Source organism: Homo sapiens, chromosome 8, assembly GCF_000001405.40.
Source record: "Homo sapiens chromosome 8, GRCh38.p14 Primary Assembly".
Lineage (NCBI taxonomy): Eukaryota > Metazoa > Chordata > Mammalia > Primates > Hominidae > Homo > Homo sapiens.
The window spans coordinates 132,320,061-132,347,646 of record NC_000008.11 but is presented as its reverse complement, the minus strand read 5'-3'; the positions used below and the strand labels follow the sequence as shown (position 1 = coordinate 132,347,646).

The window sequence follows — 27,586 nt, the reverse complement described above, 5'->3', positions numbered from 1 at the left end:
AGTTTAAAGAGTAGTTATTTAAAACAAGATCTTCTTTGATGAATTATGTAAGTTAGGTTGCTGCTGCCCTTTGCTCTGAGGGGCCTGTCCTTTCACCTCACAGCATTTGTCACCATTTGCCATTGTGTATTGTCTTAAGTATTTATATATACCCTTTTTTACTCCCTCCCCCGCTAGCAAATAATTCCACAAGGTCAAAGAACACAACCGTGTTGTTCACTATTGTATTCCAAGAATGGGAGCATTAGCAAAGAGCAAAGTAAGCAAATGCAGTGTTATAAGATCATCACCATCATCATCACTGTCATCATTGCCATCGCATCATCATGCCTGGAAAGGTAAGAATGGGTACTTTCCAGGCCATTGAAATACTTGATGAGTAAAGAGAGGGCCAGGGACTTGGCAGGAATTCCATTGGCAAAGTCAGGATTAGAATCAATGGCTATTCATTCTTGGGTGATTTGTTTACCATAACTTATTTCTGAGAACTACAGACTCCAGGGGCAGAAGGTATCCTTAAAAATATCCAGCCCAGGGGTACAGACTCAGACATCTACAGGGGCCAGGCAGGTATCCTACCTGCGTGAATCCGCCCACACAAGACAATGGAGGGTGATGGCAAAACTACCAGCATCTTCACCTAGAAGGAGTTCCATTCAACGCCGTCGAAACAACATCAGGGCCCTGGACTGCTGCCCTCCACTTTAGCCTAGTCTATACTATATTCTCCCTCCCTAGTGTCTCCAGAAGCTTTGCCAGCTTCCCTTCCCACAAAACAGCCGTTTTGTATTTGGGGCAGCTCTACCATCAGCAAGTCCTCTGAGGAGTGCACACTAGAGGGAACAGCTGTGAGGTGAGACCTCCTCTTCTCCCCTCCCAGACTCTGTCCTGCAGGTTAAACAAGTCTGGTAGGAGACCCTGTGGCTTTGGGGTACCAGTTTACCTTCCAGCCTGGGACTCCTGGGAGATTTGTCCAGGCAAACATGAAGGAGTTTGCTCAGAGTTTCCAGAGTTGAAGCATTAGTTGCAGCTCAAATATAGTAAGCATCTATATTCCCTCATTAGACTTGCAGAAGAGGGCAAAGAAATGGCAAGGCAAGCTTTTAGCTGTGATGGAGAGTGGTGGAGAGGGTTCTAGTATTTCCTTGTTCTGACAGCATCACCTCCCTATCACCAGAGGCTTTTCAGAGGACTGCTGAGTCATCCCGACCTTTGGAAATGCTCCCGCCTCCGCCTCTCTAGGCTCCAGCTCACCTCAAAGAGGCTGGCATTTTCTCAGAGTGAAGTGGCACTTGCATGAGCAGAGGCAGAAGAAATGTAGCCAGAGAAAACCAGTGTGGAAATGCCAATCTGCCTTTTTTGGAACCTGACAGCCCAAGCAGGGTACCCATATGTGGCTTAAAGTTCCAGACCCACTTGTAGATTAGCTCATATGAGCCCTCTGGGAAGAGAAGAAAGGGAAAAGTGATGGTCATGCCCTGACATAGCATCACTGCCATCAGCATCCTCAATCACCATGATTGTCACCATACCATTATTATCACCATCATCATCATCGTCATCTTGTCACCACCATTATGACCATTCCATCATCACCATCACCATCATGACCTTTTCATCATCATCACCATCATCATCATTGTCATCATCACCATCCCATCATAATACTCATCACATTATCACCATTCCATCATCATCACCATCATCATCATCATCATCATCACGTTATTACCATTAAGTCATCATCATCATCATCACCATTCCATCCTCCTCACCATCATCACCATTTCATCATTATCATCATCATTATCAGTCATCATCCTCATTATCTCATCATCATTGTTAATGTAGCTGTAGTCTTCTACATGACATACAAGAACTATTTACTGAGCTCTTATTATGTGCACAGCTCTGTGATAATCATCGTATTCCCCACCACCCTCCAAGACTTGCATTTCAGAGATAGGGGTAATGAGACTGAGAGTGCTTTAAACAATGGGCAGAAAAACATTCCCCAGTTGGAAATTATCAAGACAGTATTCAAACCAGATGTTGCCTTCCTCCAAAGTATGTGCTCTCACTGTATATGGGATTGTTCTTTCATACTGTTTATTACAACTGTACTCCAGGAATTATTTGTGTGGTGGCTGTCTTCCTGATCTGGTGTTACTATCATGGTTGAAGCTCATCTTGTTCACTGCATCCCCAGTGCCTCATGCAGGCCTTGCACGGAGTAGGCTCTCACTACCTACCAGTTGCTTGAGTACGTTCCTGGACCATCACTCTGCCTCAGTTTTATGTACTCTTTTCAAGGTTCCAAATGTATTTCACCTTCATTGCACTTTTTAAATCCTAAGGCAGATCTAAGGAAGGCAGGATGGGTGTGGGTGGTTCCATTTCATACGTGAGAGAAAGTAGGTGATGAATGTAGCTGCTCCATGACTTAACCAGATCACCGATCTTAATTTCTGACTTGTGAATCAATATTATTCTAAATTTCATCAGAGTCATAAATTCTAGTGTCCTGAGGGCCCCAGAGGAGCAAGGATTCACTTAAAATCCCTCAGCAAGTTAGGGCCACCAATCTATGCCCCTGGATCAGCAAATTACAGGGGGGCATGCTCTAGTGAAACTGTACCATTGATCACATGGAGCTGAAAGTTGACCTTGAGAGACTGGTCACTCTATCTCAGCTCTTTGTCCTCTCCTTTGGGTTACTTCACATCCTTTGTCTTTTGACACCTTCTCTCTCCCTTCTCCCAAGCTTCTGGAAACTGCTGCTCGTAAGTTGCCCCACGCAAAGCACCCAGCCCCCTCCTCTCTAGGTAACTCCACCAACTGGTTCCTCTCCAGTCTCCATTACTCCTTCTGCACTGGCCTCGACCTTACCTGTTGCCTTCACCCAACTGTCCCCACCAGCTTTCTATACCCTGAACCTGTAGCCTATGTTGTGATCTCTCCCAGGAATATAAACAAAGCTACTTGCCCTATTTTCTTTGCCTAGGTGCTGAAGATACAAATTCTGATTCCACCGTGATGAGTGTGTGACTCTGGCCATGTTTCTTTACTCCTCCAGGCCTCAGTTTCCTCATCTGCACAGTGGAGATCATAATTACACAACTTCATAGGTTTTTCTTGAGGAGTCAGAGTTAATACATAGCAAGTTCTCAGAACAGTGCTCAGCACTTAGAACAAACTCACTAAATGTCTGTCTTATTCAGGTCTAATAAGTGGAGGCAAAGGGGAAGGAAGGTGTGCAGTTTCCTCAAATGGCACCTGGTAGATAGCCTCCCAGTAGACACATGCACAGATTTAGATTTGGCAATGTCTTTGAATATGATGCATTTATAAAATCACTGGGAAAGATGTTAAATGTGTAGTAAATGTAAGGGCTGTTTATACATTTATGTTAGTAGAGAATAGGGTACTGACCCTATAATACTCTGTAAGTTGTGGAGATTTCCTTGCAACCTGGATATAATCAGATGAGATCACCGTGTATTATGGGAGAATCCCTTTTCCTCCTTAGATATCTCCCATAATATGCTTGTGCACTTACTCAGATCATCCCTCCAAAGAAGCCTGGATTTCTCACCAAAGGCACCTGCATGCAGAGGCCAATTATTGCCCAGCAACAAGCTCTATTTAAACACAAAGAACATGTGCCACTTATCTGAATATCTTTCATCTGTTCAGCCACAGTCTTAAAATTGGAAAAAGGAGTAGTAACTTGGCTTCAAATCTCATTTCATTTCCTGTCTTCTTCGTTGAGCAGATTTGGCACAGATACGCCCTTCATTTCAGGGTGGCAAAGAAAATATGGAACTGAAGACTGCACACTATAGAAACTGGAAGAGCCACAAGCAAAGCCACCCAGGACACCAGGTGGAGGTCTCCACAAGCATGCCACCTCCAGCTTGGGAAATCAGGGAGCGAGTATCTCTTGGGTGGTAGGAGTAGCTGGAAAACAAACCTCTCATTGGAAGGTCCCTAAAGAAGCCACCAGCAGCACCTTGGTGGTGGCCCTCCTTCTGCCTTGCTGAACTGACCATGATGCCTCAGCCCAGATGGCCTTTGATGAGACAGCTAGAGCCTTGGGGTTGACTCCTGTGAGTTTAGCAAGATTCTGTCTTCTCCAGCCTCTGCCAGCTTTGGGTATACACGTCAAATTCAATTTTCATAAGCACTTATGGAGGCTTCCTTGGGTATTTCCCCAGCTTGGTGCTTGGGACACAGAAAGATTAGGCCTGGGCACTGGTTTCAACCTCTTGTGCAAGATATGAACACAGATAAATATAATACAGGCAGTGTCATGTAGACACCATGGGAAGGGTATAAACAAAGATGTGTCTTCCATGTGCCTGGCACAGGGTCTGGAACACAGTGTACTCTCAATAAAACTGTAATAAAGAATGAATAAGTGACATGGTGAGTGCATGGATGAAATGGAGTGAGCAAGCAAATCCATTGAACACTGTGATTCACCACGAGAGTAGCAGATGCTTCAAGAATGAAGAGGTGAGCAGTCCCAGCAGTCCTTACACTATGTTCAGTGTTACAGCAGGGTTGGATTGAAGCGCTGTGTGCTGTGGATTCAGTGTACTTGGACAGAGGCATCAGCTTGCAGGAAAGCTCACAATGCCCAATACGTTAGCCCTGAAGAAGTGGCCCTATGCTTTCTTTGACATGCCTGTAAAAACAAAAACCACATGTGTAAGAAAATGTGTTTATAGTGCAGTAGGTGATGGGGGAGAATACAAGCCATATCTCATGATGAAGAACTACACATAATCTATGCCCAATTTATTCAGTGATGTTTAGATGTTTATGACTATACATACTTCAGAACTATTGAAACACATTTATTGTAAAATATTATAAATTTGAAACTGTAGTCCAGCACTTACAGACTCAAATGCCTACAGGGATTAGCAAGTATTTCAAATGAAAGGCATGACTAGGGCAAGACAATAGGAAGTAGTGAGGCTTGCAGGAAACTGGTGGCAAACTCTAGTTTCTCTAAAGAGAGCAACTACTGCTTCTGCTAGCTGACGCTGAGTAGGGATGATAATTTATCAGATCTTATTTTTCACAAGAGGGAGAATCTGGATTTTTTCTGTTAACTTTCTCCATTTCTATCATACCTTGTCAACCCAACAAAACACATCCATAGGCCAAATTTTGCCCGTGGGCTGCCTGTTGGCCACCTTTACCTTACTTATTGCCCTTTCTACTCTGGCACCGCACCTGAGAAGGCGAGAATTGGGGAAATTTGATGGTGGTTTGGGTAATGAGAATGGGGATGACGCGCCTTAAAAAAAAAGAAAAAAGAAAAAAGAAATCAATGGATGGGGACAGAGTTGGATTTCAGGGGGAGGGGGAGGTGAAGACATGGTGCCTTTTAAAGGAGATATGGTGAAAGAAAGAGAGAGGGTCATGGTTTGGGTTTGAGCTAGAGGCAATCAAATGAGTTTAGGGAGTGTTAGAGAGATGGTAAGAGATCATCATCCTCCGTCCACATTTACAGAAAACTGACCATGAGCAACAGTGGACATGAATTGGGAAGGGGACAGGGCAATGATTGATGGATCAATACCCAGTGGAACTAAGAGGTTACTGCCAAGGACACATGGAGAGAGTTTTGCTTAACAAGCAGAAAGAACACTTTTCCAAGTCTGAAAAGAGGAGGAATAGGAAGAAAGAGCTGTGTGGACAAATGGGGATGTTTCTGTGCATGCAAAATTATCCCCTTTATTAGAGAAAATACAATGACTCATGAATTATTTTTGCCAGGTAAAAACTGCATGGATGCCTGAGAGTTTTGTATAGGCAGTTATCAGGTTGATTAGAGGTGGATATGCTCTGAATGTCTCTTTTTTCCACAGGTTTCTAAGATTAGAGAGATAATAAGCTGGTAGCTGACACAGACCCTTAACCTCTTCAAGTTCACCAGTGATTGGATAGGTTTATGACAGAGAAACCAGGTCTGGATTAAGCCCACAGTGGAATGGACAGTTGTGCATGTTTTCATTGTTTCTTTGTTTATTCAGTTATTCACTTATTTTTCACTGATTCATTCATTCGTTCAGTTATCAAATTGCACTGCTAGGAACCAAGGGACGAGAAGGCACTCACAGATGGAAGGGCCATAAGACCTACATGCATATGATTGTGATGCAAGGTAGAATGTCCATGGGTGTGGCAGGAGTGAGCAAGATGAAGAGCTCAGAAGTGAAGAGGAGAAGGCCCAGAAAGAGGGGACATTTGACTGGAACCTCTTGAGACGGAGAAAACGTGCCTTCAGCTGCATGGATGAAACTCCTTATCTAACTTGAAGGTTGAAACAGATTGAACATGACAGCTCTCCAGTAGATACCTCTTCCACTGAGGTTTGTGAATGACTCCTGCCTGCGAGGTAGTCACGCACTAATGCTGAACTCAAGAGGAGACCTCTTCCTCAGTGTTTGACGCTTTGGCTTCTGGCTGGCATAGTTTTCTGTTCCTCTCTTTGCTCCTGTTAGACCAGAACTGTCCGGTAGAACTTTCTTTGATGATGGAAATACTCCATATCTCTACTATCCAATATTGTAGCCACCAACCACATGTGACTATTGAGCACTTGAAATGTCTTTACTGTGACTGAGGAACCAAACTTTAAATGTGATTTAGCTGCAATTCATTTGAATTTAGATGAATGATCACATGTAGCTAGTGACAACTATATCAGAGAACTCCTTGAGGGATCCAGCTCAGTTCCTAGCTCTCAGTACGTGCTCAATATAGGTGCAATGAAGGAAACTACTTTTTACTACTTAAAATCTAGGCTGCTCTTTAAGAAGAATGAATTTCTTTTTTTATTTTATTTTACTTTAAGTTCTGGGATACAGGTGCAGAACGTCCAGGTTTGTTACATAGGTATACATGCGTCATGGTGGTTTTCTGTACCTATCAACCCATCATCTAGGTGTTAAGCCCCACTTGCATTAGCTATTTGTCCTAACGCATCCTCCCCTTGCCTCCATCCCCCACCACCCCCCAATAGGCCCTGGTGTGTGATGTTCCCCTCCTTGTGTCCATGTGTTCTCATTGTTCAACTCCCACTTATGAGTGAGAACATGCGGTGTTTGGTTTTCTGTTCTTGTGTTAGTTTGCTGCGAATGATGGCTTCCAGCTTCATCCATGTCCCTGCGAAGGAAATGAACTCATTCTTTTTTCTGGCTGCATAGTATTCCATGGTGTATACGTGCCACATTTTCTTTATCCATTCTATTATTGACAGGCATTCGGGTTGGTTCCAAGTCTTTGCTATTGTAAATAGTCCTGCAATAAACATATGTGTGCATGCGTCCTTATAGTAGAATGATTTATAATCCTTTGGGCATACAACCAGTAATGGGATGGCTGGGTCAAATAGTATTTCTGGTTCCAGATCCTTGAGGAATCGCCATACTGTCTTCCATAATGGTTGAACTAATTTACACTCCTACCAACAGTGTAAAAGCATTCCTATTTCTCCACAGCCTCGCCAGCATCTGTTGTTTCCTGACTTTTTAATAATTGCCATTCTAACTGGCGTGAGATGGTATCTCATTGTGGTTTTGATTTGCATTTCTCTAATGACCAGTGATGACTTCAGCTGCATGGATGAAACTCCTTATCTAACTTTTTGATGAGCTTTTTTTTTTTTTATGTTTGTTGCCCGCACTCAGAAGAGTAAATTTCTTTACAGAGAAGGCCTTTGTGTTGCTGGATGTCCTCATAGGTTTGGGTTTATAAATCTTCCAATAAAAGCTACCCCATCTCTGTTCCCAGGGTCTGGGTGTCGCCAGGATTCCAGGCTTTGGGGAATGGGGGAAGCTAATCTTTCTAATACTGTCAGAAAAATGTGGACTTCATAGTGATGGCAAAGCACTGGGAGGCATAAACAGAGTGCAGGCAGGATACAGGGGCTGTTTGCTTGTCATATAAGCCCTCTCCAGGTGAGATCTCGGCTCATTCCAACCTCTGCCTCCTTGGTTCAAGCAATACTCATGCCTCAGCTGGGATTACAGGCATCCGCCACCATGCCCAGCTAATTTTTAAAATATTTTTAGTAGAAATGGGGTTTCACCCCTGCCCCATCTTAAGGATCCAAACTCATAAAATGTTTAGTGTGAGTGCATTTTGTTTTTTTTTAAAGAAACCAGTGAAGAAGCTGACCATGGTACATGGTGGTAAAGAGCAAAGCATTCCTAGGCATTTGGAATTGGCAGAGGACAAACTTGTATAATTTAGATTTTTGAAGGGTGAGGGGGTCCTCTAGATTGCCCAGTTCGAGTTGGTGGAATGAATGAATAAATGAGTAACGGATTAATGAACAGAAGAAGTTAAAAATGATATACAACATAGATTCTTATTTTTAACAAAACTCATTGCTTCTTATCTGGAAGGGCCCTGCTCCTGGCTCTGTTCCAGCCCCCACTTTGTTCAGAGGAGGTGCCTCAGGCCTAGAGAGGGGAATAGATTGACCTGAGGCCACACAGCTGCCTGATTAATGGTAGAACAAGAGCTGGAGCCCAGGACCCTCAATTCCAATTCCCATGCCATCTTATCCCAAGAACTTTTGTAATGCGGGAAGAGGAAGTTTTCAGTATGCATGCAACTTTAATGGTTTTGCCCTGTGGTCTCTCTTCATTCTCAACACTGGTTTCTCCTGAGGTTTCACAAGACCAAGCTAGCTGACCTCCCTCTCCCCCTGACCCACGTTGTACAAGCCCCATTAAGAGAAGGCTCACTGAGGAGGTGATGGAGGTCTTGGAGTTCACATATCCATGAGGTCTCAACATCCCTTCTTTCTGAACCATTGCTTACTGGGAAGACCAGTTTCCTGCCTATTTTCTGCCAGAAGCAGCTTAATTTTTTCTGTGTCAGCATCCCCTCAGCAAGAAAGGTCATTTGCTAACAAACAACCGGTGTGTTCCTGAGAGCACAGATGGGAATTCTGGACTGGCGGGCGCCATTTGAGGGTGACGCTACTGAGTGTTCTCACACCCTCGGCTTCCCTCTGAACACCACGGTCAAACCACCAGCTTCCAAAGAGCCATGATCAAAACAACAGTGATGATATTGAAATGAACAGCACATATGTGTCAGACACTCTTCTAAGTGCTATCATATAGTAATAATTACTTATCCTGTGACCCTCTGAGGTCAGTACCACAATCACCCCCATTTTATTATCCCTCAGAGAGGACATGGAGCTTATCCAAGCTCACACAGGTAGGAAATGGCAAAGCTGGGATTTAAATCCCAATGGTTGGACTCCTGGGTCTGGGATCCCAGCTACTCCCTTGTGCAGGAGGACCACTGGGAAGTCAGACCTGGGTGTTTAATTTCAGTTCTGCCTTTACACACTAATGTGTGACCTTGGGCCATGCCTAAGCCTCCTCACCTCCAAGGTCCTCCTAGGCATGCTGATACTCTCACAGGGCCATTGTGAGAATTAAAATGGATATCTACAAAGTGCTTCCCAGTATACTCTGCCCAGCACACCGAAGGCACTCAATAAATCCAAAAAGAAAGGAAATTATAGAAGCCATTTGTTTCTCCAAACCTTCGACCATCTGAGATTTGCCCATAAGTTTTCCCTCTTACCCAGCCCATCCCTATGTAGCCCCAAGATGGTTCCTATCTTTACTATGTTGAATTGATTTGGAAAAATATTTAGATGATAAGAATATCATGTGCATTTATGATGTTCCTCTCTTGGCAAGTGGTTTGCAAAGCTCATTTCTATACTGCCAGACTTCAAAGTTCAGTCTTATGGCACCGAATCAACCCACAAAAGGTTTTTGGGGCAATATGCATTGAATATTTATTATATGCCAGGCATGGGCCTAGGCACATTGATTTTTATCCTCACATTGAGGGCAAATGCATTTTCCTGTAGCAATGGTGTGTGCATGGTGATTTCCAAACTGCAAGGTCGGCAGGTCTGGGGGGTCTGAGGAGTCTTTTATACCTGTGAATGCCATGTCTGTATGAGTCCCAAACCGTTAATCAACATGTGACCTGTTGGTACCAGCCCTTCTTCATTCATATATTCATGTGGTGGGTGCTGACCCTAAAGTTTTGTTTGTTTGTTTGTTTGTTTTTGTTTTTGTTTTGACAAGGTCTTGCTCTGTCGCCCAGGCTGGAGTACAGTGATACGATCACAATCATGGCTTATTGCAACCTCGACCTCCTTGGGCTCAAGCAATTCTCCTGCCTCAGCCCCCTGAGTAGCTGGCACTACAGGCACACACCACCATGCCTGGCTAACTTTTAAAATTTTTATAGAGACTGGGTTTATTGCTCTCACTTTATTGCTCATGCTGGTCTCAAACTTCTGGGCTCAAGCAATGCGATCCTCCTGCCTTGGACTGCCAAAGTGCTGGGATTACAGGCATGAGCCGCCATGCTCAGCCTTACAGTTCTTGACTTGAGAAACCTTTATGCCCCAGGATGTTCCATGGACAGGTTTCTGGGGCATCCACTCCTCTGGAATTATATGTAAGTGTCATGACCAACTTTAGGCAATAAGGGACCTTTATACAAATTAGACAAAGGTGGCACCCAACATTTTTAGAAGGAAAAAATGCACAAAGGACCTCCTCTCTGGGCATACCTGTTACCAAAATGGACTTCTTCCTCCTGGCTTTCCTCTCAAGGACTCAAGTCTCCTGAATGGAATGTGGGCTGGATTCTAGATTCCTGTAGAGGCCCATTGGCTAGGTACCCTTATGCAGTGCACAACCTGAACAATCCTATAAGAGGGCCTGTGAATTATTGCCTGTGCCTATGATCATTTTAGAGTGAGAGAGCTATGAGTTGTATTGGATGTCTCTGATCCAAAAAAGATTCAATAGGCACTGGGGCATTATAAGATGATGGGTGCCCAACATACAGAATAATTATGAGGAGGGAGAGGGAGTGAGCACTATAAACTACTACTGGGAAGAACTATATGACACTGCAAGGGGCAGGGGGACTTGGCTAGACAGAGAGGAGGTGGTTGGTGCAATGTTTAGGCACGTGGATCCCAAAGGCAGGCTCCCTGGCTTCAGATCCCCGTTATTCATCTTATGGGCCTTATAACACCGCTGTGCCTTTTACTCTTTGTGGTCACCTACTGTTTGTCTGGAGCTCCATGAATATTATCCTCCAACCCTGCCTCCCCCATCATGCAGGTACTTTCTACAGAAGAGGACGCAGAAACCCTAAGAGATTAAGTCACTACAGTGGGCCTTGTGTTTGGATGTGGGATAGAGCCACCATTTGAAAGTGGATCTCTGACTTGGAAGGTGTTAGATGGTGTGTGGCCCACTGACCCATGAGGTTTCCACAGATGTGGAGGTGGAGGCACAGCTGGAGGCCATGCCAATGGTGCAGGGGAGACCCCTGTGACTTGCTTCTGGAAACCCTGCTGGCATTGGTTGGGGTAGGTCCCAAAGTGCCCAGCCCTAGACCCTGCCCTATGGGAATGCACAGTCAGGTGGGAGAGGCAAGAAAACAGGACGGCAGCTCAGGTGTGGGACTGTGATGGTGAGAACACAGATTAATTTCCCACTGCTGCTAAAAAGCCAGCTCAGCTCCCTTCTACACTTGAGTTCTGCTGGAGAAGGATCCTCTTCTCTACAAATTAGTCTCTTGGAGCTGCAGAGGGAAGGAAGAAAAGGCTCCAGCACAAGGGCCTCCTGGTGTTTATCATGTTAGACATCACAGGCAGGTGCAGGAGTCCTTCAGGTAAATAAATGGAACCACTAGTGGAGAGGAGGAAAAAGGAACCTACAAAAAGAGGTGACACAGAACAAGGAGGAAGTAGATTCTTTTCCCCAACTTTGCTTCTTCCACCCCTTCCCCCGACAGCATACCCCATAGCCTGATACAGGCTTTTCTGAAAATCACTAACTCTTGGATCGTTTCACAAAACTCTTGAATGGTTTCTCTGATTTTGAATTTGGATTCTCTTTTGAAATTGCCTTTTTTCAGTTGTAAGGAATGAAAGCTTTGAATGAAAAGAAAGGAGACCTGACATCCCCAACCTTTGCTGGGCTCTGTCACCCTGTACCGTCACCCTCTAATTCCTCTGTCAGACCAAGAACCCCCAGGGTGAGTAGCTGGGCGGTTATCACACTCTTTGGCCTGTCACCAGCACCTAGTGAATACTTATTACAAAGTGAGGGGGATAGAGTTGCAGAGTAGACAGTGAGACTGGAGAGAAGTTGGGGACCATCATGGAAAGACTTGGGTGCAAGATAATGGGCAGTCATTGAAAAATGTCTAAGATGGGCTGGGCGCGGTGACTCACACCTGTAATCCCAGCACTTTGGGATGCTGAGGCAGGCGGATCATGATGACAAGAGATTGAGACCAGGCTGGCCACCGTGGTGAAACCCCATCTCTACTAAAAATACAAAAATTAGCTGGGCATGGTGGCACGCACCTGTAGTCCTAGCTACTTGGGAGGCTGAGGCAGGAGAATCACTTGAACCCGGGAGGTGGAGGTTGCAGTGAGCTGAGATCACACCACTGCACTCCAGCCTGGCAACACAGCAAGACTCCTTCAAAAAAAGAAGAAAAAAGAAAAGAAAAGAAAACAAGGAAGGAAGGAAGGAAGGAAGGAAGGAAGGAAGAAAAATGTCTAAGATGACTTGTTTTTAGATTTTTGATTTTAGAAAGACCACTTTGGCTGAAAGAGGGGGAATAAAATAAATGGGACAGAGAGAAGTCAGAAGTGTGGGGGCTGTTGTATGACCCAAGCCAGAAAGGATGGGGTCTGAAGTCAGGCAGTGGGATTCAAGAGGAGGGGCCGTTAAATAGCCTCAGTGTCCAGGGAAGAGGGTCTTGTCTGGGCTGAAGATCAAGGAGCGAAACTTCCCTACAAGAAACGCTCTTGAATGTATCAATGAGTTTTGGGTTTCACCTGCCTCCTTGCCAGGATCAGTTATCTCTGAGGTATTCTCATCTGGAAGCATTATGACATGGCCCCCAGATGGGGATGGCATGGGAGACAAGCACTCAAATCCCACTGTGGGGAGATCATTTAGGTACAGTCCTTTTAGAAAGCAACTGAAAATAAGTATAAAAAGCCATAGAAAGGTTGTCTTCTTTGCCAATTATTTGTATTTCTGAGGAACTTACTTAAGGAAAGAATTTGAGGTTAGACAAATAAGTTAACTGTGACATTTTTCTTTTTTCTATTTTTGTTTTTTTGAGACAGAGTCTTCCTTGGTCCAGGTGATTCTCCTGCCTCAGCCCCCTGAGTAGCTGGGATTACAGGTGTATGCCACCACACCTGGCTAATTTTTGTATTTTTAGTAGAGACAAGGTTTCACCATGTTGGTCAGGCTGGTCTCGAACTCCTGACCTCAAGTGATCTGCCTGCCTCCGCCTCCGAGATTACAGGTGTGAGTCACCACACCCGGCCACAACTTTGACATTTTTCTGATAGTAAGAAAATTGGAAGCAACCTAAATGCCCAACAATATGGGAAGATTTAAATCAACTACACCTGTCTCTGCCACTGTATCACAGAGGCCTTGATGACTTCCCAGCTGGTACATGTCCTGGATGGAATATTATGTAGTCCTGTTAAAACTTGTTTCATGGCTGGGTGTGGTGGCTCACATGCTTTGGGAGGCTGAGGCGGGAGGGTCACTTGAGGTCAAGAGTTCGAGACGAGCCTGGCCAACATGGTGAAACCCTGTCTCTACTAAAGTACAGAAATTAGCTGGGCATGGTGGTGGGCACCTGTAATCCCAGCTGTTCCAAAGCCTGAGGCAGGGGAATCACTTGAACTCGGGAACCGGAGGCTGCAGTGAGCCGAAATCACACCACTGCACTCCAGCCTTGGTGACAGAGCAAGACTCAGTCTCAAAAAAAAAAAAAAATTTGTTTCATAAAGAGTTCACAGTAACATAGGACAAAGTTTACATTACTATGTTTAGGGAAAATAAGAAAATCCAGGCACACAAGAGAATATGTAGTATCATGCAACCACCCCAAATATACAAAATCCATAGGTCAAAAATTTATAAAATACTAAAAATGGTTGGTTTTGAGTGATGGGACTTTAAGTAATACATCAATTTTTCTTTCTTCTTTGTATTTCTGTTTTCCACATTACAGTGAGAAGGTATTATGTTTATAAAGGGAAATCGGCTTCCTTAAAATGCTGACTCCCAGCTTTCCTAAGACCCTTTCCCCTGAGTTTGCATTTATGTGGGACAGCATCTTACTAATGAAATATTTATAAGTCCAGGAAGTATGGAAATGTTTTAAATATTTTAACCTAGGCTCATTTTCTCTCTTGTTTTCTCTTCGCTTGCTCTCTCTCTCTCTCTGAACTTTCTTACCACTGAAGTCATGACACTTGTACCTGCAGGACTTAGAGGGGTTGGTAAGGCTTGCTCTGCTTTAGGCCATGAGGAATTGTCCAGGCTTTATCTTGAAGGGCACAGAAGCTTCCTTACAAAGTGCACATACCCAGAAGGATAGCACTGAGGATGAATGCCAATGGAACCCTGTCTACTAAGGAGGATGCCCCTCTCTTCCTTTGTTCATCTTCCATCCATCCATCCATCCATCCATCCATCCATCCATCCATCCAATCCATTCATCCATCCTCTCACTCTGAACAAGTGTTGTGGATTCAAAGATGAACCATGGGTCCTTCCCAGAACTCAAGGTGCTCACAGTTACAGGAGCAAACCCACAAACACATCATGATGGCACAGCGATGCAATGAAGAGAGGTGAGTGCAGCAGGAAGGACAGGTTCTGCACCAGGGAGGTGTCCAGCTAGACTGAGGGGGCAGGCTCCAGAAAGGATTCTTGGAACAGTCGTGGTAAGTTGGGCCAGACAAGAAAGAGGAAGGGAATTCCATGTGGAGGGCACATCTTGAGCAAAGCTTTGCTAGCCAGAAACAAGACAGCTCAATTGGCTTGACATTATGGGAACATAATTGGGATATTGTGTTGTGGGGAAACACAAGGACAGAGAAGGATTTGAGAACCAGTTAGAAAAGTGTGGCTAGGAGTGAAGAAAACTGAGAATAGGGGAACCCACTGTTAGGTCACCAACTTCCCACACCTGAAAGACTATCATATGGCAAAGGAATTGATTCATCATCTCTGTGTGTTCCTGGAAGATAGAACTAGTGCTCGGGGTAGAGGTGGCACAGTTTGGATGTCAGAACTGTCCTACTGTGTGCAGTGGGTGCCTTCTGCAGGAGAATAATGCCTAATGCATTTCTGGCCAGCCTCTGATGGGAGCATGGCTTATCTGGGTACCTCTGGCTCAAAGTCTCTTATGTGTTTCTCCGGAGCTATTGCTGGGGCTGTAGTCTCATCTGAGAGCTAGAGTGGGGAGGAACAGTCTGCTTCCAGGCTCACTCGTGGTTTTGGGTAGGCTCTGGTCCCTCCCCACAGGCACCTCTCCATGGGCTGCCTCATGGCATGGCTGCTGGGTTCCCTGCTGGCAAGAGTGAGAGAGAGCATGCAAGGAGGCCCCCAAGAAGGACATCAAAGTCTTTTTATATCCTAATCAGAAGTGACATCCCATCACTCTGTCCTACTCTATGCATTATAAGCAAGTCACTAAATCCAGACCACATTCAAGGGGAGGGGATTGCACAAGGGTGTGACTGTCAGGAGGCAAGCATGATCAGAGCATCTTAGAGACTGCCAACCACTGTCTACCACAGAACTTCTGACTGGCATGCCCTGATGACTCAGATCTCTTGAGACTTCTGGACTGCTTCGGAGTTCTCCAGTCACTCTTCATCTTCAGCCTTTGTGAGACAGATTCTCAGTGCCATAAACAAAGTAGCCCATCAAGGAAATCTCTTCCTCTCCTGCAGCAGCAATGGGTATAATATTTATTTCATTTTTCCTGTTTACTTATTTATATCCCATTATACTATGCTGTGTCTCCTTTACAATGCTAAATTCCCAGTGGACACAGGTCCTTCAGTACGGTGGGTGCTCAATAGATATTTTTTGAGAGAACAAGGAGCAGGAGGAGGAGGAAGAGGAGAAATCAGAAGAGAAGAGGGGAGGGGACAGGGAGGGGAGGAAGCAGCAGCCACAGCTGCCCAGGCTATGACTTTCCCTAGTCTGTTTGCTAGAGTAAGAGGCCAGATGTTAACCATGGGATGCCATTTCTTCCAAACCAGAGGCCCCACGGGTGGCCATATGAGGGCACCCCTGAGTCTCAGCTGGGTCCTCTGCAGGTGAGACTGAGTCAGCCCTCAAGGGTGATCCTCCTGGAGGCTGAGACCCTGACTGAGGCTAACTCTGGCTTTCTAAGTTAAGAGCATGAGTTTCGGAAGCAGAGAGCCTGAGGTTGAATCTCAGGGCCTTTATTACGAGCTCTGTGACTTTGGGAAACTCTCCACCTAGACTTTCAAATTCCTCATCTGCAGTGTACAGAGAGAGCTGTTACCACAGGGTTGTCCTGAGGTTAGATGGAGTTCTCCTGGTAAAGGGCACAGGACAGTGCCTGGTTCCTAGAAGGTGCTCCATGAGTGTTAGCAATAGTGCTTCTCCTGTTCCCCTGCTGGGCACAGCATCCAGCCACCCAAGGGGACTGGAAGCCAGGAAAAATGGGACAAATGGGAACATTCAGGTTCGTGGCTTATCAGAAGCCACCCCAGTGGACGCTGCCTTTATCACTATGATGTGCTGATCATGGAGAAGATGTAGGGCAGGAAAGTTATGTCCATCAGACCCGGCAGTTGCCACTGACTCCTGGGGCTCTCAATTCTGGGACACAACAACTGACAGACTGCCCAGTGTGGCCTGGGAAAACCACCAGGGCTGAGGTGGCCTGACAGCTGCTGCATCTTCCTCCAGCTGCAAGTGTGTATCACCATCATCTTATATAAGCCTTATAAAGTGTCCACACATGTTTCTGGCTGCAGAAAATCAGGGACTAGGGAACTCTCACTTACTTCCCAGCTCCTAATGTTTTGCCTTTGGGGTCTCAAGATTTTGAAAAAGAACCCCTTGCATTTGGAGGACACGGGTGAGTTTTTGCTGACATGTCCATCTCCCACTTCTGAGACAAGCCCAGGAGTGGAGGGCAAAGTCACAGACTAGAGTCCCCCAAATGGCAAAAGGGCTGGTGTCGAGAGGAAGGTGATGTGCCTGAGAGCCCCATAGTGGGAGCACTCAGCACAGCTGCAGGAGAGAGATAGATCCCCTGGAGGTTTTCCTCGAGCAAATGGCATTTAAACTAAGACCTGGTGCAGGCATTATTCATTCCCTGAGATGGCCATAATGAAGTACCATTAATCTGGTGTCTGAAAGCAACAGAAATTTATTTTCTCACAGTTCTGGTGGCCAGAAGTCCCAAATCCAGCAGGGTCTTGTCCACTCTGGGAGCTCTATGGGACAATCCATTCCTTGCCTCGTTTGGGTTCTTGTGCCTGCCCCAGCATTCCTGGGCTTGTGGCCATATCACTGCAGTCTCCACTCCATCTTCACTTTGCCTTTGCCTCTATGTACCTCTGCTCTGGATGTCTCTTACAAGGATGCTTGTCATTGGATTTAGGGCTCACCTAGATAATCCAGATGATCTCTTCATCTGAAGATCCTTAACTTTAATATATCTGCAAAGACCCTTTTCCAAATAAGATCTCGTTCACAGGCTCCAGGGTGTAGACCTATATTTTGGGGGCCACCATTCAGCTAACTACCCAGGTCTGCCATACACAGCTGCACAGGGTGTGCACTGAACAACTCCAGGGGGCCTAATTCATGAGTTGCGAGGGCACACCTTGCACAACCATGTGGGGTAGTCCTGAGGATGAGAGCGGTTCCTTGTCTTCTTAGGCCTGGATAATCAAGCTGCTTTGTTTGTCCTCTAGAGTTTGGGGAACACTGTGTCAAAGCTAGAGAGATAACAAGAGCAGATCTGGGAGGGACCGAGTGCCAGCCTCTTGGTAATACAATGCCACAGAAGGTTTTCTCGCAGAGGCTTGGCATGGTTAGTTAGAGCTATCTGGGGGTGCCTTGGGATGTGGGAAGGACCAGAGCTACACCGACCACTGTCGTATGTTGTGATGGGAGCTGAGAAGGTGTGCATGGCCTCTGAAATCCAGAAAGACATGTGTCGCCTTTGATGGCAATGAAGGTTTATTTCAAGAGAATCTCAGAATCCAGTATCCTTTTCTACTAGCAGACGTTTTGCTATATATACAGAATTAGAAATCCGTCCAGGACTTGGTTGGAGCTGCAAATTCAGCACTGGAGGATTCTAGCATTTAAGTGTTTTCTGTTACAGCACCTCGTTACCTGGGTTGCAGCACATGGTGGGGCTGGTGGAGGAGGTGAGTGGGGGCTGAACAGCACTTGGGGGTGCCTCACCCAGGAGGAAGGCGTGCCATTTTCTCAATTACATGGAGACATCTTAGGGCTTACAAAGGTCCTGCCTGTTGCCCTATTTTCATGCTCTGCAGATCTCCCGGCGTTACCTGCTACTTTCTTGCTTATTTGTGTATTGTCTGCCTTCCTCCATGAGAAATTCCATAAGGGCAATGTTCTTGTTTACTGGTGCTCAATCCTCCTCCTCCAGTGTTCAGAGAATGCCTGGCACTTAGTAGGCACTCAGCGCGTACCTGCTGAACGTGATAGTAAAGAGCTCAGTAACTGAATGGGCGGGTAGAGATGTGACAGCAGATTTACATTATCAGGAGGTCTCTGTGGCCTGGGCCTGAGAATACTTTGGGGAGATACAATGTGAGGCATGTGACTTGTTAGGAAGTGTTGCAGTAATTCAGGAGAGAGGATGTGGCCTAGGAAGGAGCAGGTAAAAATGAGAAAGAGTGGTAGAGTGGATACTTTTAGGAACCAGAAACTATAATACCCAAAGACAAAGGAGGTGCTCGAGTTGAGGGGAAGAGAAGAGATACGGAGTATTGTAAAAAATGGTATTTACTGAACATTACTCTGTACTAGGCACTGTTCTATATACTCATTGTAGATTTGGATATATTAACTCTCTAGTTGTCACCACAAGACTTGAGGTGGAGAGTATAATTTTCTGTGTTCTACAGATAAGGAAATTGGGGTGCAGGAGACTTTAAATCACTTGCGCCAGCTCAAGTAACTTGGGCGTGTTCACCCAGCTGTCCAGAGTCAGTGTCAGGTGGAACTCAGGGGATCATTCCCTGAGCACACACCTATAGCCACCTCACCATCTTGTCTCTCTAATTATGAGGCTGGCCTGGCCTGCCGAAGGTGAAGGATTTGGTTCTCCCTTATATAGCCTCAGTCGATTTGCCCCTCTATCCCCACTCTTAGGCAGCATGACTATGACACTGGGGGTGTTGTTGTCCCCTGCAGCAGGGAACCTGGTTAGACTGAGTGGGGTGAGGTGTGTAGGGGAGTGTGCAGACAATGAGTCCTGAGGGCCAGCTGATGGGAAGCCCGTGCCTTATGTCACTTTCCTATTCCTGGGTGTTTGCCTTGATCATGTGGGCTCCTCCTCCAAGCCATCTGGATTCAGTACCTTCCCTCACTGGTTCAGGTGAACATGGCACAGCCCAGCCATCCTGTGTGACTGCAGAGAGCAGGCATCCTGCTCATCACCCATGCCCCCATGCTGGCTCTGGGGTAGAGGGGACATAGTGGTTGTGGGATAGAGTCTGGAGATTAAGGCCCCAGGTCCTAGATCCCACAGAGAGGCCTGCCCCTAATTTCTGTGAGTGGGGAGCTGTAGTACAAGTACAGGTGGGGTCCTCTGTACCCCAGACTGCCCCTTCCCTTCCCACACCATGGGGGGCTTCATGCACATGCCTGCTGTGGACCCCCAGCCCACACATTTAAGCTCCTTTCATCCTCCACAAAACAGCCCTCTGGGTTTCCCCTTAGGCCTCTTCATGCTCATACAGGGCCTGGGATTTTCTAGGAGCAGAGAACAGGATGAGGCCCATGGAGCCCAGCAGGTACTTGGGGTGTCAGGCAGGGAATTGCAGGGTCCTGGGTGCTCAGTTGTGGGACAGCAGGGGGCACATGGGCTCCAGGTAGGCACATCCCCTTGGTCTTGCAGATTCCTTCCCCTATGCAGATGGGCACAGCTGAATGAGAGTTCTAGTGGAACCCCAAAAGCCAGAGCCAGGACAGGGTCCCTGGGTATCCAGACTTAAGGGCCATACTCTGATACCTACAGATCTGGGATCAAACCCTGTTACCATGTGGTTTGGGGCGGGTTACTTGATCTCTCTGAGCCTCGGTTTCTTCATCTGTACAGTAGGGATAATGATAGCACCTAACTTCATAGAGACACTATGGGAATTCAAAGAAATAAGGCAAAAAAGGTTTTAGAGTGTCTGATCTTAGAGTGCTTCCCTCAGTACCTATTACCTCTTTCTGTTTTCTCAGTTTTCTTTGGTTGGCATGTTTCTTCTCACACATGAGATCCTGCATGTGTTAAAGGCCATAAAACAGGGAACAAATTTGTCAAATTCACCTCTGATTTTTCAGCACCTGCCTCCATGCCTTGCACATAGACAGAACCAACTATTTATTGACTTTTTAGGCTCGAGGGTATAGCAATGAAAAAAACAGTCAAGCTTCCTTTGTCTTGGTACTTTTATTTCAGTGAAGGAGGTTAACACATGAGCAGTAAATATAGAATATGGCCGGAGGCTGTAGGTGTTAGGGTGGAAAATGAAACAGGGAAAGAGGACTGAGAGTTGCTGTATTAGGTGAGATGGTCGAGGTAGTCTCTTTGATAAGGCAAATGAGTAAATGAATGAATAAATGAATGAGTATCTCAGTCCCTCTGTGCTACTATAACAAAATACCTGGGACTGGGTTGTTTATAAAGAACATAACTTTATTTCTCATGGTTCTAGAGGCTGGAAGCCCAAGACAAGTCATGGGTAGGATTGGTGCTTTATGAAGGCTTAGCTCTTCTTTCAAGATGGTGCCTTGCTGTTGAGTCCTCTGGAGAGGAGCACTGTGTCTTGCCTGGCAGTGGGGAGGGAAGAGATCAAAAGATAGTTCCCTTCAGCCTAGAGCTCTTTTATCAGGATATTAATCCCATTCATGACGGTGGTACCTTTTGTGACTCAATCATCCCTTAATACTGTTGCATTAGGGCTTAAATTTCAATATGAACTTTGGTGGAGACACATTCAAACTGTAGCTGTGGATGAGGGAGTGAGTATTAACTGCCTGGGGGCAGGGACTGGATCTTTCCTTCTCTTGCACTGTGCCTAACACACAATGGACACTCAAAAGATTTGTCTGATGGATGAAGTTCCAGGCTTTGACCAAGAGTCAGAATCTCCACCTGCTATTGGTGGCCTTGGAACCCTGCCCGATGACTTCCAGGCACAGGAATCCTATGCCTTTATTTGGTAGCCTGTCTCCTTATTGAGAAAGTTTTGTGAAGTGGTTTTGTATGTCACGCCACCTTCTGCACTCATGCCACTTCCTCCTTCCACCATGACACAGTGGGAGCCCTCAGCATCACCTTCACCACATTGTCTTTGGGTTTTTGCTTCAATGCCCCCAAAGACAGGAAGTTCAAAGTAATGCACATCCAAGCCTCATGCTGAGACAACATATCTCTCTCAATGGCAGTAGCCATTGAGGGTGGCCACTTGCCTCCCACAAAGCCCAACAAATATTGTCCCTTTTACATTCGACATACGAAGGAAAGTTTGTTCTTTCAGAGTTTTCTCTTCTCAGACCTAAATAGTTTCAGTTCTGTATTTGACTACCTTTTTTGGCCTCTCATGATCCTGTTCTCTCCAGTTGAGATCCCAGAATTAGACACATCCACTTGGGTGACATAGCTTGGAGCAGAAGCTGGATGTCTGATGCATCCAGCTGCATTAGTTCACTAGGGCTGTCAAAACAAAGTACTACAGACTGGGTGATTTCAACAACGGGAATGTATTTTCCCGCAGTTCTGAAGGCTAGAAGTCCAAGATCAAGGTGTCAACAGGGTGGTTTTTCTGGGACCTCTGTCCTTGCCTTGTAGATGGCTGTCTTCTCCCTGTGTCTTCACATTTTCTTTCCTCTGTTTATGTCTGTGTTCAAATATCTTCTTATAAGACCACCAGTCATATTGGAGCAGGTCACCCTAATGAACTCATTTTAACTTAATGACGTCTTTAGAAACCCTATCTCCAGATACAGTCACATTCTGAGGTCCTAGGGGTTAGGACTTCAACGTATTAATTTTAGAGAGACAAAGTTCAGCCCATGACACCAGCCAGTCGTCTCTTTTCTCAGGTGTGGATCAAGGCTCAGAAATGGAAAGGTCTTGACAAATGCCCCAAGCCTATATTAGACCCTGGACGGAACCCAGCTCTCTTGACCCCCAACACACTTCTCTCTCCTGCATCCCGTGAGTCCAACATTTTATGAAGTCCATCTGCAGCTCTCATGATTAGGTGGTTTTCTTTCCTTTTATTGACTGACTAACTGTCTTTCCCCATCCACACCGCCAGGACCCCAGGACAAGGCTCGAGAAAGCCAGCCTATCACCATGTGGGCGTCAGCTCTGCCCACTCCAGGGCTCCTACCAAGCTGTGTTGTGTGGCAATCCTAGAAACAGTGGGAATGAGGCCAGGGAACAAGCTGCCCTGATTTATTTTTTCTTAAAAAGAAAAAAAAAAAAAACTAACTAGGACAGCGAATACAAAATTATTCTGGGTTGTTTTCAGGCTGGCGAGCCTCTAACTTTGCTTCACACAAAATTAAATAACAAGTAGAACTCAGTGGAGCTGAGTTGCAGGAAAGCTCAGGAAGGCAGCACATTATGATGGCAACCGCCGGGCTCTGGAGCCAGCAGAGCTGGGTCCTACCTTTGGAGCCATCACTAGCTCACTGGGAGACCCTGGGAAGTCACTATCTAGCCTTAGCCTATAAAAATGGGGCTGATCTACTCATTGTCCTTACCCCTCTCCATGCGATGGTTTCAGATAATTATATGTAAATAATTTGGTACATGCTTGGCACATAGTATGTGCTCAACAAATGGTTGCTTAATGGAAAAGGAAATTCTGCTTGGTCATTAGCCTTAGTCCTCATATTAAACTGTGTCCACTCCCCTTTTCTTCTGGTTCTTTTTTAGAGACAAGTTACTGGGGTAAAGAAAGGGTGAGAGTGGAAAGAGTTTTCTTAGATGGCAATGTGGGGATAATGACTGTGTCTGCATTCGCCCATTTGTTTATTCACACATTTCTTCACTTAATTCAATTAACAAATATCTACTGAGTTTTAGATGTTGTGCTTAGAGATTAGGGATGCAGAGGCATATAAATAGGGTCCCTGGTCTCAATAATTCTATAGTTTTGCTGAGAAGAGAGGATCCAAGGAAGGACATTAGAATGAAGTAAAGGCACAAAAACTGAAGCATGTATAAGCTAAAGGAGGAGAATAGGTGAACTGACCATGCTGACGGGACAGGACATCAGGGAAGTCTTCCTGGGATTGAGTTGACATTTGAACATGGTATTGAATGGCTTGAAGGATATTTCAGATTGAAATTATCCAGAGGGAATTACAGACTGAGGGAACAGCATGAAGAACTAAGATATGGAGGGATGAAACAGTATGATGGCTTCAGAGAAACCGTAAGCAGTGTGGAATTTCTGAACCCTACACTGCTGATGTAGAAGTAGCCATGGGAGAGGAGGCTGAAGAGATCGTCAAGGGTCAGACTGGAGGGTCTTGATTGCCAAGGTCAGAACGCGTGCTTCCTTTTGTAGGTGATGAAAGCATATTAAGTATCGTAAGGAGGAAATGACAAAATCAGATATGTTTTTTTTAAGACTACTTCTGCAGGAGAGGGGCAGTGGAATTGAGGTGCGCAAGGCCGAGACCCACAGTTGTCTTGATGGCTTACCTGAGAATGGGGACAGAACTCAACTCCACTACAGCAGGGCTATGAAAAAAGGTGACAGATAGTAGAAATACAGATTTTGGTACAGAATCAGTTGACACATTAATTTAATGGAAATGGGAAGTCAGAGAGAGGATGGAAACGAGCAATAAGCCCAATCGTGGTTTTAGCACCTACGGCCATTTTCTAAAACAGGCTAGGAGCAGGTTTTGGGGGAAAACAATACAATTTGGGACATGTCAAGTCATGTCAAAGGTCAGTAAACTTTTTCTGTAAGCGACCAAAGAATAAGTAAATATTTTGGGCTTTGTGGGCCGCATATAACCTGTATCACAGCTACACAGTGCTGCCGTTGTGGCATGAACTCAGCCACAGAAAATGTGTAAATGAATGGCATGGCCGTCTTCCAGTAAAACTTTGCAAATGCAGGTGGCAGGCTGGATTGGTTGGATCTGGCCTGCAAGCCCCTTGGATTGGACCCATGGGGCTAAAGTCCCCTATCCTGAGGTCAGGAGATCTCTTCCTCATCCTCTGCTCATCTTTAAGTGATCATAATCAAGATTTGGCCTTGGAGGAAGAAGACAGAGGGCACTGAGCTGTTAATAAAGAGTGCGGGCCTCAGTGCTTGGCATAGGGTCTCCTAAAAATGTGAACTGCCTTCCCTGCTTCCTTGGGGTGGAGGAAGCTTCCCGGATCCGTGATGGGCAGGGAAGCACGTCCAGCTGGATCACTGCTGGGAGTACTTGGTATCTTGCAGACATAAGCACTGCTCTCTGAAACAAAGGGCCCAAACTGCTCGACTCAGCACCAACGCAGTAACCTTGCAAGTGGTGCACTTGGCACTTTTCTGTGGGCTGCATGGGGAAATGTAATTATTTTGGAGCTCTCTATTCTCAGATGGGTCATCACCAACTGTGTTCAAAGGCCTTCATGACTTGATTGTTTTTCCTTGGTTATTTGGAGGCTTAAAAGCCTGTATAGTCTTGAGCCGACATCTGAGGGATGAGGACAAAGCTTTCTGCCCCAAGATTCCCATGCAAACATATTTGAGCTGAGCAAGTGAGTATAGAGGCACATTCGTCTGCCTGCCCAGTTTCGCCTGTCTGAAAGCCTGGCTTGTGTGGTACTCATGCTCTGGCAGATCAGCCAAGTACCTGTTGGGGTCACTCTATCTTTGAGATTTAAATAAAAGGTAGGACCTACCTCCCTCTATTCCACATATGCACACATGCGGGGAATACCAGAGGGCTATTTTTCAATTCTGCCCATGTCCTTACAGCTCAGGAGGTGTGGGGTGGAGAGGAGATGGGCTTCTCCATGTCACTGGGCTCTGAGTTTCCTGCCCCAGTAAATTCTGCATCTCAGTTCTGCCTCACCTGCTGTTCCTGTTCATCACTCTGCTCTGAGCCAGCAGGGATGTCCTCCAAGCCCCTTGCATTGATTTCTTTCCAAATGACTCTCTGGGGCATTTGCATATAGAGTCACCTTTGCTGAGAGTTTAGGGAATTAGCAGAGATGAGAGAAGCAAAGCAAGCACTAAACAGCAAACAATTCAAACTGGTTAATTGGCCTCTCTGTTATTCGTTGAAGATGCCACCGAAGAATTGCAAGCTAAAGTCTCTTTGTTAGCCCCTTGCTCCCACTACCCGTCATATGACTTAACCGTCTTATCTCTCTCCGCCCCTCTTCTTTCACTTCTTTTCTCCGCTCTCCTTCTTCTGCCACACCTTGTCCTCAGGCCACATCCAAGTCATTTTCAAGAAAATGTGCTTTAAAAAAACACTTCTCATGTGGGCATAAAAATAGCACCTCCTCCTCCATTGGGCAGTAGGGGGGACTGTGAACAGTAATGCTGGAAGAGACTCTGCCCAGGGCCCGGCCAGTACAGGTGGGGAGGTGGGCCCTGAGGTGTCAGAGATCTTAAAGAACAAGTCAGATTTCACCAGGTGCACTGGTGTAGAGGGCATATTTGGTGAAAAGAACAGCCTGGGCCAAAGCACAGGGGTGTGGTAGTGAATGGTGTGTTCTGGAAATGCAACATAGATGAGTTTGGCTAGGGTGTAAATCACATGGAGTAACCCCAGAAAAATGTGGTTAGGAAACTAGGTGAAAATGTGAAGTGCTTTGCTGAGAAGTTTGCATTTTATCCCGTATGACTCAGAGCCAACCAGGAAATGACCCAGTATGCTTGGCTACTTCTGAGAAGCATCCTTGTGTGTCTGTGTGGGAAGGGAGAGCAAACAGAAGCAGGAGGGCCATGGTGGCACAGGCATGGAGGACCTCAATGAGGAAGCAGAGGGAGGAAGCGTGTTTCAGGTATGTATTCCGTGTCAGGTTGGAGGTTGGAGGAGAAAATAGTGTTCGTGATCCACCAAGGGCTTCTACAATATGGTTGTGTCATGGCCTAGTTTTAGCAGGGTGAGATGGCTGTGCCAAGGCTAGGTTTTATGCAGGCAAAATGGAGGGCTTTATCCAGATTTTAGTAGGGCACTAAGAACCTGGCAAGAACTGGAAGTGGGTGAGGGATTGGTTTGGGAAACAACACCTTATGATTGGGCATCATGAGTTTCTGTGACTGAATTCATCTGAAATGGAATTTCTACAACATGAGATGACTCTATGTTCCAAACCAATCAACTACTCAATAACCACAACCTACAGCTGTGGTCTCAGCCTGGGCTGTGCATTCAAATCACCTGGGAGCTTTCAGAAAGCAATGAAGACCAGGTCCTGTCTTAGACCATTTGAATATGAACTCTCTATGGGTAGTTTTCATGTACCTCTGCATACTTATGTGTTTTTTAAAGGCACCCAGGTGATTCCAGTGGGCAGCTAGAGCTGAAAAACCCTAAGGACTGTGGGTGAAAAGGAAGTTCTCACTGTTGCACGTGAATAGAGGGCTTCTGCTGGTTGGACAGAGGTGCTGAGAAGTGGCAAACATGATCAGGCACCAGCATTCATTTGTTTTCTCTTCTGTTATAAATAACAGCAGCCTTGGATTCGTTAAGCCTGCCCTTCCTTCCCTTTTCTGCTTGGTGTTAAATGTAATTTCAGGGGCTCTGGCTCTGAGCAAGTGGGGCTGTCAGTATGTATTAGATTTCCTTCCAGGAGATCAAGTTCCAGCTTCTCCTCTGAGTAGAGTGGGAGCTGTTTATAGCCCTCAGAATTGAATGGGGTAATAGGGACAGGAAGAATTACCTGAATTACAAAGAATTTGGGAACATTTCAGATTGGAAGTGGCTCTGGCTGATGGACTGTGGTGAGCTAGCTGTCCTGGGTTTTGGTGACACTGTGACCTTTGGCAAATAACATAATCCCCCTGAGCTTCAGTTGCTTCATCGGCAAAACAGGCAAGAAAGACCATCTCCATAGAAGGCCAGAATTCAGATAAGAAGGTGAAGATCATGCTGTTTATCTGTGTTATCTCTGTTATTTCTTGTGTCAACCCCATTTCACAGATGGATAAACTGAGGTCTGAGAGTTTAGTAGCTTGTGCAAGGTCACATATCTGGTAAATTATAAGCCTGATATTCTAGTCTTCACATTTGGCCTCCAGAGCCCACAGTCTTAATTACTGGTTAAAATACATGAAAATCCTCTAGAAACTGGGAACTGTACAAATCCAACCACATACCAGTTTCCCAAAGAACTACTTTCCAAATTGACAGATGTGTGTACCATCTATTTATTGGAAATAAAA

General features: G+C 45.7%; 1 protein-coding gene across 5 annotated transcripts in view, besides 1 other annotated feature; it reads left to right on the top strand.

The window, feature by feature from the left end:
- KCNQ3 (potassium voltage-gated channel subfamily Q member 3) overlaps positions 1-27,586 on the top strand; it is a 360,235-nt gene that overhangs the window by 133,449 nt on the left and 199,200 nt on the right. Inside the window, exon 1 of one of the 5 annotated variants that reach the window (XM_017013400.2) lies at positions 13,849-26,202. The exons of the other annotated variants lie outside the window; for them this stretch is intronic. Within the exon in view, the coding sequence (XP_016868889.1) occupies positions 26,039-26,202 (164 nt within the window). The 5' untranslated portion in view covers positions 13,849-26,038. Of the gene's footprint in view, positions 1-13,848; positions 26,203-27,586 lie in introns of those variants that run through there. 5 annotated transcript variants of the gene reach the window in all.
- Positions 210-1,409: an enhancer, noted in NCBI's record as "MED14-independent group 3 enhancer chr8:133358485-133359684 (GRCh37/hg19 assembly coordinates)". NCBI's record gives its function as "activates an origin of replication core promoter dependent on BRD2, BRD4, P300/CBP and CDK7 cofactors, and independent of MED14, by STARR-seq in HCT116 cells {active_cell/tissue: HCT116}" and the evidence as "EXISTENCE:reporter gene assay evidence [ECO:0000049][PMID:35650434]".